At 33.6% G+C, this 15,570-nt stretch overlaps 1 protein-coding gene across 10 annotated transcripts in view; it reads right to left on the minus strand.

Moving 5' to 3' along the window:
• The window catches only part of CSMD3 (CUB and Sushi multiple domains 3), a 1,214,012-nt gene that overhangs the window by 269,200 nt on the left and 929,242 nt on the right, over positions 1 to 15,570 (minus strand). For all 10 annotated transcript variants that reach the window (NM_001363185.1, XM_017013010.2, NM_052900.3 and 7 more), the window contains 3 exons: positions 14,564 to 14,702; positions 11,663 to 11,850; positions 362 to 556 (listed from right to left, as the gene is read on the minus strand). In NM_001363185.1, coding sequence (NP_001350114.1) covers positions 362 to 556; positions 11,663 to 11,850; positions 14,564 to 14,702 — 522 coding nt within the window. The remainder of the gene's footprint in view (positions 1 to 361; positions 557 to 11,662; positions 11,851 to 14,563; positions 14,703 to 15,570) is intronic.

The following is a 15,570-nucleotide window of genomic DNA, read 5'->3' on the forward strand; positions in this document are numbered from 1 at the left end:
TGTTAGTTTCAGTGTGTTTGTTCCTCATGTACTCAGCCAATATTTTCTGAGCACCTAACGTTTTCAGGTGCAAGTCCTGAAGGCACACAAATTAGCATAACAGGCAGTAACCCAGTTCTCAGAAAGTTTGCCTATTATAGTACACATATTGCTTTAGAGACACCTGGGAATATAAGCACTTTTCCAAAACCAGGTCTTTATTGAATTCAACTTTAAAATGTTTGATAAAATCTCTGCATTGCTAGTACGACACTTGTAGATTGTATGTGGAATAGTTGATGTTCTGAAACACAGAAATGTCTTTAAATATTTTTTGATTTTTTCTAATCATGAAAATTCAGCCAAAAAATATGTTCCTTACCATGACAACTTGGCAAGGCTCTATTCCATCCAGGTCTTCCATCATCTCCCATGATACAGGTGAGTGTTGAATAACCTTGAAGAACATAACCAGCATCACAGTAATAGGTGACTGTTGACCCTAATTTATAATCCATTCCAAGTCTGGTGCCATTCATTATATTGCCTGGATCAAAGCAGGACTCTCGCAGTTTTGCTGTAAAACAGTGTTAGTATAACATTAATTGCTTTAAAATACAGTTGGCACTCCGTAATACATGGGTTCTGCATCTGTGGATTCAGCCAACTGCAGATTGAAAATATTTGGAAAAAACTGTATCTGTACTGAATATATACAGACTTTTTTTGTCATTACTCCCTAAATAACATAGTATAACAACCGTTTACCTAGCATTTACATCATATCCTGTATTATTAGTAATCTAGAATGATTTAATGTATGTGGGAGGATGTATATAAGTTATATATTCACATCTGTGAATGTTAGTATCAGAAGGTTTGGAACCAGTTACCCAGGGATACCAAGGGACAGCTGACTGTTTTTTATGGACCTTTAAGACATGTTCATTTCTTTTTCTAACCCAGAAGGAAAAGCAGCAGCATCATTTCTGTCTTTTTGGGGGGGCTCAAAGTACAAAGGAGCCCTTGTGCATATCTGACAAATTGCTAATGCATATTTATTAGTAAGATAATAAATAAATTCTAAAGATCTTCATAGATCTTCTCATTAAATTTAGTATCCAATGCATATAGTCAAACATAGGGTTTTAGAATTTATTATAAATATTATGTGCTAATAATCCATGTGTAGGTACTATAAATGAATTACTTTGGAAAAAAAGAAGGAGCCCTTATAAAACGTCTTTATTTAAAAGATCTCCCCACAAGTAATGCCATGTTACTGAACCTAGAAGTGGTTTTTCTTCCTATGTTGAGCTCAGTTCATTTCACCACCTACAGCAAAATAAAAGGCCCTATTTGTCTGCCCTGCAACCATTTTTCTTACCCTATTTTCTCCAGTCATTCTCCACATTTTTATCATAGGTCTCCCATTGTAAAATAGCAAAATCCAAACCACAGTATTTTTTGACAGATTTTCTATCCCTATGCAAAACACTTTCAAAACTAGAGGTAACAGACAGATTAAAAAATAAAATCCTTTCAGAGCAGAGGAATTGTTTTCATTGTACCCAGATATTGAACAAAGAGACTGACAGAATAATTTGAAAATATGTAGAGAAATGGAAAGATTAGCTCATTCATTTTATGGCAAAGGTACTAGAACACTTTGTTGTTAACAGATCTGGATGAGGCCTTGAGATTATTTCCATTTTGTAATTATTGATTACTTAAGAAATAATAAAGAAATGTACAACGTAAAGGCCATTACAATAAATCAGGATAACAAATGTAGTGATTTTCTACATCAGAATTTGTTTTGTGCTAATAAGAAATCAGACAGTGGGTATATCTCTGAATATGAGTCATGGAATCTTTGAAATGTAAGTCAACGATATCTTGGTGTTTGGCTACTACAAACATATTTTTATATCAAAATATAATTAACTATACCAGTAAGAATATGTTTCTTTCATTCATAAAAGTTTGCAAGGAGTTTAATGTACTTTAGCATTTTTAAGAAATAATGAGAAATCTGTGCTTTAAGAAGAACACTATATATAATTTCTCCCAATTCAACTAAAGAGGAAGTGGTAGAACCACACATTTAAATAATTTTAATAGAATAACAGATAAATGAGGAAGGTTGCCTCCCTTCTTTCCTTCCTTCCTTCCTCTCTCTCTCACTTTCTTTCTTTCTTTTACTCTCTCCTTTCTTTCTTCCTTTCTTTTGTTCTTTCGTTCTTTCTTTCTACAAATACTTAAAGGCTCACGACCCTACTATTTTCTTTTTCTTTTCTTTTCTTTTCTTTCTTTCTCTCTTTCTTTCTTTGTTTTCTTTTGTTTCTTTCTCTCCTTTCTCTTTCTTTTCTTTTGTTTCTTTCTCTCCTTTCTTTCTTTCTTTCTTTCTTTCTTTCTTTCTTTCTTTCTTTCTTTCTTTCTTTCTTTCTTTCTTTCTTTCTTTCTTTTCTTTCTTTCTCTCTACAAGTACTTAAAGGCTCACTACCCTGCTAACTCTGGAAATGTAGCAGTGGACAATCAGAAAATGTTCTGGCACTCACGGAAATTACAGTCTCTTAAAGAAAGCAATTATATTAAATAAAGACTTGCGATTTTGGCATGCTGTATAAAGAGAAGCATTCAGGAACCTCACTAAAAAGTGGTATCTAAAGTGAGCATTGAGAGAATAAGGAACAGATTAGGTAAAAAGGCGATGGGAAACCTGTTGGGGAGGAGGTGTGCTGACATGTGCAAATAGATAAATGTGATTCCTGGGTTTCAAACCAGAGCTAAATGACTTGATCTTCTCCCAAGCACACATATACACACACACATGGATACACTTACACAAAATTTGCACTCCATATATTATACTCAAGCTGCTCTGTAAAAATTTTGTCCCAAACCATGGAATATATTTCTTTCACATAAAATATTCACACAACTCTTTTTATGAAAGAACCAGCAGGGTAACTACTTAATTTGGTCACTAAGAATGGGCATTTAGTGATGCAAGGGTTGATTTGTTTATTTATAAAAAATAAAACTTTACATTGTACCTTCCCTTAAACAAGCAGGAAAACGCAATGTAATTTTTAGACAGAACAGAAACCTGGCATTTATAGCTGGGCTTCGTAAAATTAAACTAAGTCCCTGGAGGGTAGAGGAAGGATTTAAATTTCTGTTTAAAAGGATTAATCTCGTTGACAAGTCTATTCTCCTAATATTCATCTTTTGAAAAGTTTGCTTTCTCCTTCTTTGAAGTTTTCCTCAATGTTTCAATATAATGTCAGTGAAACTGTAATGCAAGCATCCGGTTTTTTGAGGAAAGGGACACATGTTTGACAAATTTAAAAATAATGCCTCTGCAACAATTTTACATTGCTAGCCTCAATTTGAGAGAATGCCCTTATGTTATTATTATGTTTACATACTGCTTTAAATCCTTGGTGAATAGTTTTCTATGAATAATACTGTCTTTATTTATATCCACATATGCCATAGCAATTACACCTGGAAATTTTGAAAACACCTGGAGAATACTTAAAAAAATGTCTAGGCAGTAGCTGGAAAGTGATTTTAGTTTCTGAATAAAAATTATGAGGCAGACAAGTTATCAGCATTATTTTTATGCATAATTAATTTTTTCTGCTTAATAGTGATTTGCCTACTGAACAGATACTAGGTAAAAGAGTATTTTGCCTCCTTACAGTCTCCAAATAAGATATATCAGAAGATATATTTTAGATCGCTGCATCTAAAATATTTTAGTTTTCTTTTAAAATTATTTCTGCTGAATATAAATAGATGTATATGTATATATATATATTTATACTATATATGTTTTATTAGAGCTAGAAGTGAACATACACAATAAAGCTTACGTCTTAATTTTTTTTGTAGCCCAGGCTGGAGTGTAGTGGTGCGATCTCGGCTCACTGCAAGCTCCGCCTCTCCGGTTCACACCGTTCTCCTGCCTCAGCCTCCCGAGTAGCTGGGACTACAGGAGCCCGCCACCACGCCCGGCCAATTTTTTGTATTTTTAGTAGAGACGGGGTGTCACCAGGTTAGCCAGGATGGTCTTGATCTCCTGACCTCATGATCCACCCGCCTCGGCCTCCCAAAGTGCTGGAAATATAGGCGTGAGCTACCACGTCCAGCCACGTCTTAATTTTTAATTAAAGGCAATAACAAATACTGGTGAGAATGAGGAGAAAAGACAAACCTCATATACAGTTGAGGGGGATGTAAATTAGTACAGCCACTATGGAGAACAGTATCAACAGTGTAGAGGTTCCTCAAAAAACTAAATATAGAACTACCATATGATCCAGCAATCCCACTGCTAGTATATATCCAAAAGAAAGAAATCAGTATATCGAAGAGATATCTGCACTCTCACATTTATTGTAGTACTATTCAGAATAGTCAAGATTTGGAAGCAACCTAAAGTGTCCACAACAGACAAATGCATAAAAAAAAGTGGCACATATATACAATGAAGTACTATTCAGCCATAAAAAAGAATGAAATATTTGCAACAACATGGATGGAACTGGAGGACCTAAGTAAAATAAGTCAGGCACAGAAAGACAAATTTTGCATTTTCTTACTTATTTGTGGGAGCTAAAAATTAAAAGCAATTGAACTCATGGAGTTAGAGGGTAGAAGGATGGTTACCAGAGGCTGGGAAGGGTAGTAGAGGTGTTGGGGGGAAAGTGGGGATAGTTAATTGGTACAAAAAAATAATTAAAAAGAATGAATAAGATCCAGTATTTGATAGCACAACAGGGCAACTATAGTCAATAATAATTTAATTGTACATTTAAAAATAACTAAAAGAGTATAGTTTGATTGTTTGTAACACAAAGGATAAATGCTTGATATTATGGAAACCCCGTTTACCCTCGTGTCAGTTATTACACATTGTATACCTGTATCAAAATATCTCACATACTCCCTAAATGTATATACCTACTATGTACCCACAAAAATTAAAAATAACAAAGGAAAACTTTTCGTGTTTTTACTTATTTGTGGGAGATAAAAATTGAAACAATTGAACTTGTAGAGATAGAGAGTAGAATGATGCTTACCAGAGGCTGGGAAGAGTAAGGGGTGGGAAGTGGGGACAGTTAATGGTATGAAAACAAAGTTAGATAGAATGAATAGGGATCTAGTCTTTGATAGCATAACAGGGTGACTACAGTTAACAATAATTTACTGTATCTTTAAAAGTAACTAAAAGCGTATAATTGGAATGTTTGTAACATAAATAAATGATAAATGCTTGATGTGATGGATACCCCATTTACCCTGATAATGATTATGACACATTGTGCACCTGTATCAAAATATCTCATGTACTCCATAAATATATATATATATATATATATACCTACTATGAACCTGTAAAAATTAAAAATTTTAAAAAGGAAAAAGACCACTAATAACTTTACTTTTTAAGTGCTATAGAAACCAACATGCTTAAGTCAACATTTGTGATATATGTTACAAAAGACAAAGAAAAATATTTTTACTATCTAGGGCCTCAATTTATATGTCCATTCATTTGGGTGTGCATATTTTTATATTGAAAATAATGAGATGTTTGTTTTACAATGATCATTATAAACATCATTACAAGCATTGTTAGCCTTAAGAAACTGGACAATTACAGAGGAAACATTTACCAAAATAAGAATAGGAAATAAGGAAGCTGATAAGACAGACCCTGAAGACCCTGAAGTGGGCAATGAAATTTTCCCATAAACAGCGGGGGTTTGAGGACCAGGTAGAAAATTAATGAGATTGGATCTCGAGAACATTATTGTAAAGAAATATCATCTGGAGTATAAAAATAAGACCTGGTGGAATTGTGTCTAAATGTGTACTGGTATAATAGGTGAAGACAGTGGGTGGGGAAGAAGGATGTAGTTAATGGGATAATTATGTATTTCTCTCTACCTATACTTATATTTTTCTTTGCCTTTATTCTCAATGTAATAATAACTTATGTAGTCTTGTGTAAATCATTTTAACAATTCGATTTTCAATTTTTTGCTTTGTAAAATGGGGATAGCAATACTTACAATGCTGTTCTGTAATGTTTTTATTGCATTTATACATGCATTATCTCTGTCCTTCCCATACCTACTCATGAGGTCTAATCATTGAATCTAGAGTAGAGTAAGTGCATAGTAAACAACATCTCTTTTTAAAAAATTACATTTGTAGTTCTTTATCTATGACAGCATGAATCTTAAGTTTTTGGAAATGATGAAAACATTGAAATTGATTAAGCTGGGGAAATAGGGAGGGACATATATTCAGCTGAGATAATGGCAAATAGGTTTTATCTCAATTGCTTAACTACTAGGCTTTAGTAAGGGCTACATGGTGTGTTACCTAGAGAAAGCATTATAAGGTCCTGACCAGTTTCCATGAGAAATAAAGCCATAATCAGTTAGTACCATCTACCATTGGATTGCTAGTGAGATACTCTTGCTGCAACTTTTATCGTAGTGATATTTGGAAATGTTTTATTAATACTAATTTACAGTAGAACCTCACTTTATCTCTACAGATTTGTTAAAAGGTTTCTTTCTTTCTTTCTTCTTTCTTTCTTTTCTTTCTTTTTTAAACAGGTCATATGTATAAGCCTTTCAGCTTGCAGGTATAAGTAGCTATTTCTAAGCCAAGTTCTCATGTATAAAATTTAGAACAGGAATCAGCTCCAAGGTTTCTCACATTTAAAGAATGTTATTATTCTAATATTTGAATTATGACTTGATTTTAAAACAGAAAACACCTCTTTACGATGCTCAAAAGCAATCAAGTAGCAAACTGAATAATTACTGTGTGTAGGCACTATTCTTGGCACTTAGTGTATAGTGGTGAATGAACAGATAAAGGCTTTCCTCTTAAGAAACTTGTATTTTAGAATATGTGTAGGGGGCTACTGGAGTGAGGGGGATGCACATGGTAAGTAAACTTAAAAATAAATAAGCAAGGAAGTATCAGATATTGACATTATTAGGTAGCAAGTGGAAGATTTTGAAATTAGGAATACAGAAAAAGCAAAACAAATATGAAGCAAAAAATAAAAGAAAAAGGCTAATAAGTATAAATATACTAAATCCAAGGTATCAAAAAACCAGAAAAAAATGCAACTTATATGCACCTGAAAGCAGGCTTTCATAATATATAAACAAAGTGGTAAAGATTTTAAGAAAAATGGCAAATTAAGAATAGTAGATTTTACCCAACTATTTCAATAATTGCTAGACCGAGCAGGTCAAAAAATGGTGAGAAGATGAATATTTAACAATATAATTAGGGAGTTTATTGGATGTATATAAAAACTTGCACTCATTAGATGATACAAATTTCTCTCCTAGTACACAAGGAACATAAATATTAACGATATAATAGACCACAAAACAAATCCTATGACAAGCCAAAGAACCAGAATCATACATATCTGATCATGCAAGTAAATTAGAAATTTATAATATAATAAGTTATAGATTTAAATTTTATTTTGATAGTTTGAAATACTTTTAAGTAGCACTTCAGCAAAGAAAAATCATAATGCTATACTTAGAACCAATTTAGAATAAAATTATGATAAATCTGTACATATCAAAATGTTTGCATAGCAGCTTAAGAGGTTCTTAAATGAAAATGTGTAGATCCAAGAGAAAAAATGCGAATTAATAAGCAGTATTGGCCAGGCGTGGTGGCTTACGCCTGTAATCCCAGCTCTTGAGGAGGGCCGGATCATGAGGTCAGGAGTTTGAGACCAGCCTGGTCAACATGGTGAAACCCCGTCTCTACTAAAGATACAAAAATTAGCCAGGCATGGTGGCTCATGCCTGTAATCCCAACTACTCAGGGGGCTGAGGGACGAGAATTGCTTGAATCCGGGATGCAAAGGTTGCGGTGAACCGGGATCGCACCACTGCACCCCAGTCTGGGCAACACAGCGATACTCTGTCTCCAAAAAAAAACAAAAGCAGTATTTATCTCAAGAAATGAGAAAAAGGATAAGCAAATCTAGAGAAAATAAAACAGAGGAAATAACATAGATAAAAGCAATACTAATAAAAATATTAAACAGTGTTAACAAAAATATGCAGCAGCAAATAAAGTAAGAAACACTGTGAATATTTTCATGTCAATATGTGTGAAATCATGAATGAAAGGAACTAGTTTTTAGAAAAAGATTTTTTAAAATCTAAGATAAAAAAGCTAATCTAAATATATTTACAACCATTAAAATTCCACCACCTTAAATCACTGGGTCCATAGTTTCAGTTCTAGAAAACATTCAAGAAATAGATGATCCTATCTTATACAAACTATTCTCGATACTAGAAAATTAAGAATGCTCCTAAATTTAGGCAGGTAGTGTAATCTTGATATCAAAACCAGACAAAAAGAGTACAAGGACTAAAAATTATAGCCCAATCAGATGGTACTAAATCAATGATAATGATACAGGAGTTAATAAGAAATCACTTAGGCAGATAGTAAGGTTTTCCTTTTAATGAAAAGGAGCCATCATATCACTTTCTTTTCTAACAAAGAGCAGCCTGCAAAATGGAGCTGCAGACATAGCCAAGCAAGCCAGAAGCTTGCACAGGTGAATGCCCACAGTTGTGCCCATAGGAAAAGGCTACCTGGGACTAGGCATGTCCAAAATGGGGGCTTCATCTGCCCTTCTGTTTGCCAAACCATGAGTACAGTAAGGAGAAGACAATATAGCCCCTGCCAGGCAAAGCCTCCTTTTGCATAAGATTAGGGTGGGGTGACCAGCCTTCCCCGCACACTATGTAAATGTCATACCTGGTCAAACCAGTCTGTGGGCCCTATGTAACTCAGACACCGCTTCCTCAAGCCTGCCTATAAAATCTGACGCAGTCAACAGTGGGCTGGCTTTCCCCTTTTGGATGCCCCTCTCTTACGAAACAGAGAGAGCTGTCCTCCTTTGTCTTTTTTTTTTGCCTGTTAAACCTCTGCCCCTAAACTCACTCTTCATGTTTGTCCCTGTCCTTAATCTTCTTGGCGCCAAATGACAAACCCTGGGCATTTACCTCAGACAACATAGATATATTTTTGTAATATAGAGTAATAATTCAGTGGCAATATACACCATAGTTAAAACTCGGGACCATAGTTAAAACAATTAATAATAATTGAATGAACTCGGGAGGCGGAGGTTGCAGTGAGCTGAGATCACCGCTGCACTCCGGCCTGAGTGACAGAGCAAGATTCCATCTCAAGGAAAAAAAAAAAAAAAGAAAGAAAATCTCAGTATGCAAAATAGGAAAAAGATGCTCAACTTAATAGTAATAAGGGAAAAGGCAATAAAAATGACAATGAGATATCATTTAATACAATTAGCAACTTCCAAGTTTAACAAAAGCACTGGTTTTTAAAAACTGGAATTTCTGAAGCTCTCATCCTCTGATTTTTGAGTTTACATTGGTACAGCCTCTTTAGAGAATAATTCGGCAATACAGAGTTACATTGAAGAGGTTCATACCCTTTGACCCAGTAATCCCACTCTTTGGTATACAGATGTCCTAAAAAGAATCTCACAGATATGTTCATGAGGACATGTAAAAGAATGTTCATTTCATCGTCATTCATTTCTGGTAGTAATAAACCAGAACAACCTAAATGTCTATCAGCAGAAAAATTTATATATTAACTTTGATATAGCCATATGGTGGAGTATCATAAAGGACTTAATAAATTAAAGCTATATGTTTCTAATTTTGATAAATCTCAAAAACAATTTAAGGGGCCAAATCAATTTTCAGAAGGATACATACATAATAAAAATACAAAATTTGTATGAAAATAAGAAATATAAAAATATGTGCAAGCATAAATACATGGAAAAGATAAGTATCAACTTCAGGATTAGGGGAATACTAGCATGAAAAGAGCAGGAATATCTGAAAAATGACCTTGAATGCTCATTATGGTTTGCCTACATGGCCAGCTAGCCAGGTCCCCACAAATGGTAAGGGAATTATCTACCAGGTGGTTAGAGTGGTGTTGTGGTCAAGCTCACTCTCTCTAAAAGAGTTTCGAACCCATATTCCCAAGGTCTAAACTTCCCCCAAGCATCTTCTGATACAGAGCAGGTAGCATTTGCAGAAAACCCCAATAAACAGCCAACACCCCAAACCTCACTGTCTGTGCCAAATGGCCAGTATATTTTCCTACTAACAAGGCCATTTTCCTGCTTTTTCTTGTGAAATGAGAGACTTACGGAGGGATCAAGCTTTCCACTGGAATGAAAACTATACTGTTAATGTCCAGCAGATACCCTTGCCCTGGCATACAGTTCCAAGTGATGACAGAGATATCGGAGGACTCCAAGCCTCTGTTTCTTACTGACTTGTGAGTTTCATTTCCCTAAAAACATCTTTCTTACCCATATCATGTGTTGTGAAATTTATCGTGACCTCTTACGATAGCCCTGAAGAGACTAACCCCTGTTCCTATGGCAAATGCAAAAGGAGTTTCCATTGTATATGTAATATTTGATTTTTTAAAGTAAGAATAAAGAGATCTGAAGCAAATATAGCACAGTGTTAATTTTTGTCAAGTTGGCTGATGGATGCTTTGGAGTTCATTACTCTATATAATTTTCCATTATTGAAAATATTAAACAAAAGGTGGTAACAAATCAAAGCATGTGTTTTCAGAAATCAGTTGATAACTTGAGGTGAATTATTAGTATGCCATTCATGGACTCAGTAATTGAAAAATAAATTTAAATTTTACACAACCTAAATCTAAATCTGTTCCTATAGACATAAACTATAAAATTTTAGAAAAATATATTTATAAATATCCACAGGCATTCTAACATAATTCATTTAAACACTAGCAGAAGTATTCTAAAACATTATAACTATATTTCTTCTCTTTATTATGAATATTGACATATTTAAATATCTGTAGACATTTTCTTAGAGACACGGTCTTGCTCTCCCAGGCTGGCCTGCAGTGGCATGATCATATCTCACTGCAGCCTTCATCTCCTGGGCTCAAGTGATCCTCCTGCCTCAGCTTCTTGAGTAGCTGGGACTACAGACGTATGACACCCCTCTTGACTAATTAAAACAAAACAATGTAGAAATCTGCTCTCACTATGTTTCTTAGGCTGGTCTCAAATTTCTGGGCTCAAGTAATCCTCCTGCCTTGGCCTCCCAAAGTGCTAGGATTACAGGCATGACTGATGGCACCCAGCTTACATATTTTCTGAAATACAGTTATCGTCTACGTTGTTCCCTTTATCACTGAAAGTGTTCATCAAATTAAGGTATTTGACTGAAACTTCAGCTTCTACAAAATGAGGCTTTTTTTGTATTTTTTATTTTTTAATGTTGTGTGGCTCCAGCCAACTCCTCCAATATACTAATTGTTAATTTGTTTGCCTGATACCTTTCCTTTGGTAGTAATTAGAGAAATGCTAATTTCCTTCCCACTAATAAGAAAATTCTACAGTGAGAACGCTTTTATGAGATGAACTGTACATAATCTGCATTTAAAAATACACATAAAACTAACCACTAACAATGGGCCATACCAAATTATTCTCCTGTATAAAATATCTATAATTTAAATCATGATACTAACATGGAATGTTCATATTTACCTTTGTATTCTAGATGAAATCCAGTGTAACTAACAGATCCATCACTCCGAAAAGCCAAATGCATTGTATTTGAGCTGCTTTCTATTCTCTCTGGTAACTTGCTGTCTTGAAAACTTCCAATCAGTGGGCTATTACTGTCTGGTCCATCATAGATATAGAGGAAGTCATAGTTTGGTTCTATGCTAAAACTGAAAAAAAAAAGGAAAGAACAAAAGAAAGAAAGAGAAGTAGGATAATTATTATTAGGCTGTTAACCATAATAGTTATATAATCAAACATTAATTCAGTGCTTAAAAATAATAAAAGACGCTGTCAAAATAAGCTAATATAAAAAATCACCTGGCAACAACATATTTAATATAAATATCAAATAAGCAGGGGAAAAAGAAAAAAACTTGATATTTTTACATATTTTTTAAGTTGACATTGTATGCAGAGGAAATATAAGTGATTGTAAGACAAAGAGTTTAGTTGATGAAAAGATACAGGATTTGGAGTCAGAGAATGCAAGTTCAAGCCTTGTTTCTGCCCTTATTAGTGACATATTCTTATGCAAGTTACTTTATGTGGAGGATAATATGTATTTTTAAAACTTTTTCATCCATATATTTTGCATCATGAAAACACAAACTACTTTTTTCTTCATCAATAGTACTCCTAAAAATTTAACTCTACAATCAGATATGGACAAAAGCTGAAATCAAAAGTTGAAATATATTATTTACATTTAAATAACTCAAATGAAGCTTTGCACATTGTATTAGGCATTCTTTTTCCTGAAAGTAAATATATTTTCTTCTTTTAAAACCTAATGTAGGAGATATCAAACCAATACATTATCAGAATTAGGTAATGTGAAAAAGGATATTTTAGCATGTAAATGATTCAAATCAGTTGTGTTAATATTGCAAGATTTGCATAATAAACTTGCCTTAACAACCTTCAAAAGTATAACAATTGTCCCACAATGATCATGGAACTCATACATTTAGAAGACAGGGGACATGCAATCAATTTCTGTTTTTCCTAACTCATACTGTGGTAGAGAAATATGGGGTAAAGGATAGATTCATTTAGGTCAGCAAGAAAAGTCAACCAGTTTATGATATAAAATGAAACCAGTAAAACTTGCCATTGTTAAACATTCATCAGTAGAAAAACTATTTTGGCAAGTTTTATCATATTTGCCTGCATCTAAGCAATAGATTTGTTACGTGAAAGGCATTATTTCCGAACCCAAAGAATTTATAGAAGTTAACGTTCCACAATCTCATCCTTTACATATGCATGTACAAGAAAGAAGAGTCCAGCTGCTCAGTTTACTTGTGCATAAGCAGTGGTAAAGAAAGAATGGGATAGTGCAGAGGTTCCCAGACTTTTCTTATATATGGGCCCCTCTAACGTGAGAAAATTGGGAGACCATCACACTATTATATTTTGTTTTAATTTATTCAGTAGCTTCAACACTTAGTTCAATTAACTTATCCTGAAATTTTTCAGTGGATCTGAGGCCTGTATTTGGTAACTGTTGGTATAATAATATAGCAGAAGTCAGAAGATTAAACTTTATTTCATTACTTATTACCCTTGTTCTGAGATAAAACACAACTTCTGAATTTCATCTCTTCCAACATTAAACTTTGATGGTAATTACAACTTCCTTTTCTATATCTGTTGGGAGAATCACTAGAAACAAGAGCTTTGTAAATGACACAGTAGTATTTATTATGCACGGAAGGCTGAAAGCTTATTTAACAATGGAACACAGTACATTTCTTTTTAATTTATAGTTTGGGACTAAATCAATACTTCAAGTATTGTAACTTCTTTGAAAATGAAATTAAAACAAAAATATTCCTTCTAAGGAAATTTTAGAGTCTTAGTTATTACGTTTTTTTTCTGAAAAACTGAAAAAACAGTGCATGCTAATATTACCTTATGTTTTACAAGGTACTTTAATAAATATTAACTCATCTTGCCAATAGTCCTGTTGTATAAGGAAGAGATTATGCTTTTCATTTTACCAATGTGTATGTTAAGGCTCTTTAAAATCAGTGGTCTACCTAAGGTCACATAATAAATGATAGAGCTAGAAATCAAATTTAGGTCATGCACTTCATGTAATATGTCCTTCTACCCTCAAGTTATCAACTAGAATAATTTTATATGTAAACTAAGCCCTGTATCATCCATTTTGATATTTCTAATGTCCGTATTGATGTTTCCTCAATTGAGAAAATGGGGATAGTAATAGTACTTAGCTTGGGAATTTGTCTTACAACAGGATCCTGGCATAAAACTAAAATTATCATTGTTGTTGCTTTGGTATTACTAATTAGCAATGTACCACTACAAATCACAAAAATAAAATTTTATTTATTTACAATTATGCTAAATTTTTATGAGTTCAAATTATCTTTACTTAGGAAAAACAAACTGGCCTCAGTACGTTAGAAAATATTGTATATTTAAGCTTAACATTTCACATAAAAACTAAGGAGCTTTAACATACTGGTGGCAGAAAAAGGAATTGTGCTACTAGAGTCAACATAACTGATTACATCAACCTTAGATAATAAAGATTGGGGACTTTTCTACTTGGAAAATCACTGAGTTGCTATTACCTAACACTTCCAATGAAATCTTCAGGGAAAGAGGCTGGGTTTTGTGATGCCAGCTGTTAGCTTCATGCGGGAAAATGGAGGCTCACTCAAATAAATAACTTGCCCAAGGTAACACAAATGACAGTGGCAAAGCTAGAACAACTATTAGCACTGGGATAAGTAAAAAATAACAAAAAATGCTATATACAGAAATAGGAATTAGTCTAGTACAAATGCTAAAGCAAAATGGCCTAACAATATATTTTTTTAACGTGGAAATAAATATATAAGAACTCACCTGATGAACGCCAAGGAGATAACATAGTCTGCATTGACGGTGATAGTCCAGTCACAGTCTCTGCTATGCGGATATGGATGAGGGAAGTTTGGTGAAAGAATAAAGCCTGAAGATCCTGTTAAATTGCCTCCACAGGGTGCTTTAATTTAAACAAACAAATAAAATCTCTTTAAACATTAATACAATTTATTAGCTATCAATATTTTTGAAATCACGTCTCTAAAAGAGCTTATGAGGCTTTGTACAGACCTGAATTTTATAGTACTTGATGCTTGGATACAGCATTATGTTTCAAGAAAGACCATTAAAATATTGAATACATGCATACATACATGGATACATAAAATTTAGCTGCTTTATTGGCTTTAAGAGACCAAAAAGAATGCATATATACTTTTCTGTCTTTCTATTATTATTTTGTTTCATGTCAAAAGAAAAGCATTAAAAAAGTGATAAAGATGATTTTCCTCTGGTTACCAGAAAAAATCAGATCAAAGCAAAACAAAACCTCTAATAATAAATAGAAAAATAAGACATGAGACATATAGCTTATTTTCATGTCTCTCCTGGCACCTTTATTTAGTACAGTTATTACAGTTTCAAACAAAGGTTTCCATAACACTTAAATGGAGAGCTTCAAAAAATTGTCAGTGAAACTCAGAGAATAGATTCTTTAGGGGATTACTGTTGAAGTTTGCTAAACAGAGCTTGTGTTCAAGAAATTATACATTACACAGAAATTGACATCTTCAAAAAAATAGAGAAATGAAGAAAGATATGGAGGTCTTCGTGGTGGGATGGGAGAGTGGGAAATACAAATAAATACACACACCCAAGTGAGGGACATTAAGATTAGGATTCTCACATTCTCACAATGTCTCCTACACATAATCAGTACATCGGCATTCTTCTCTCACCTTGGTTTCGAAATTGTAGTTTTCTGAGATAAATATGAGCATTCAGTTATAAGGGAAATTAAATTTTTTTGTCCTATAAAACTGGTTTTG

Source organism: Homo sapiens, chromosome 8 (genome assembly GCF_000001405.40).
Source record: "Homo sapiens chromosome 8, GRCh38.p14 Primary Assembly".
NCBI classification, from domain to species: domain Eukaryota; kingdom Metazoa; phylum Chordata; class Mammalia; order Primates; family Hominidae; genus Homo; species Homo sapiens.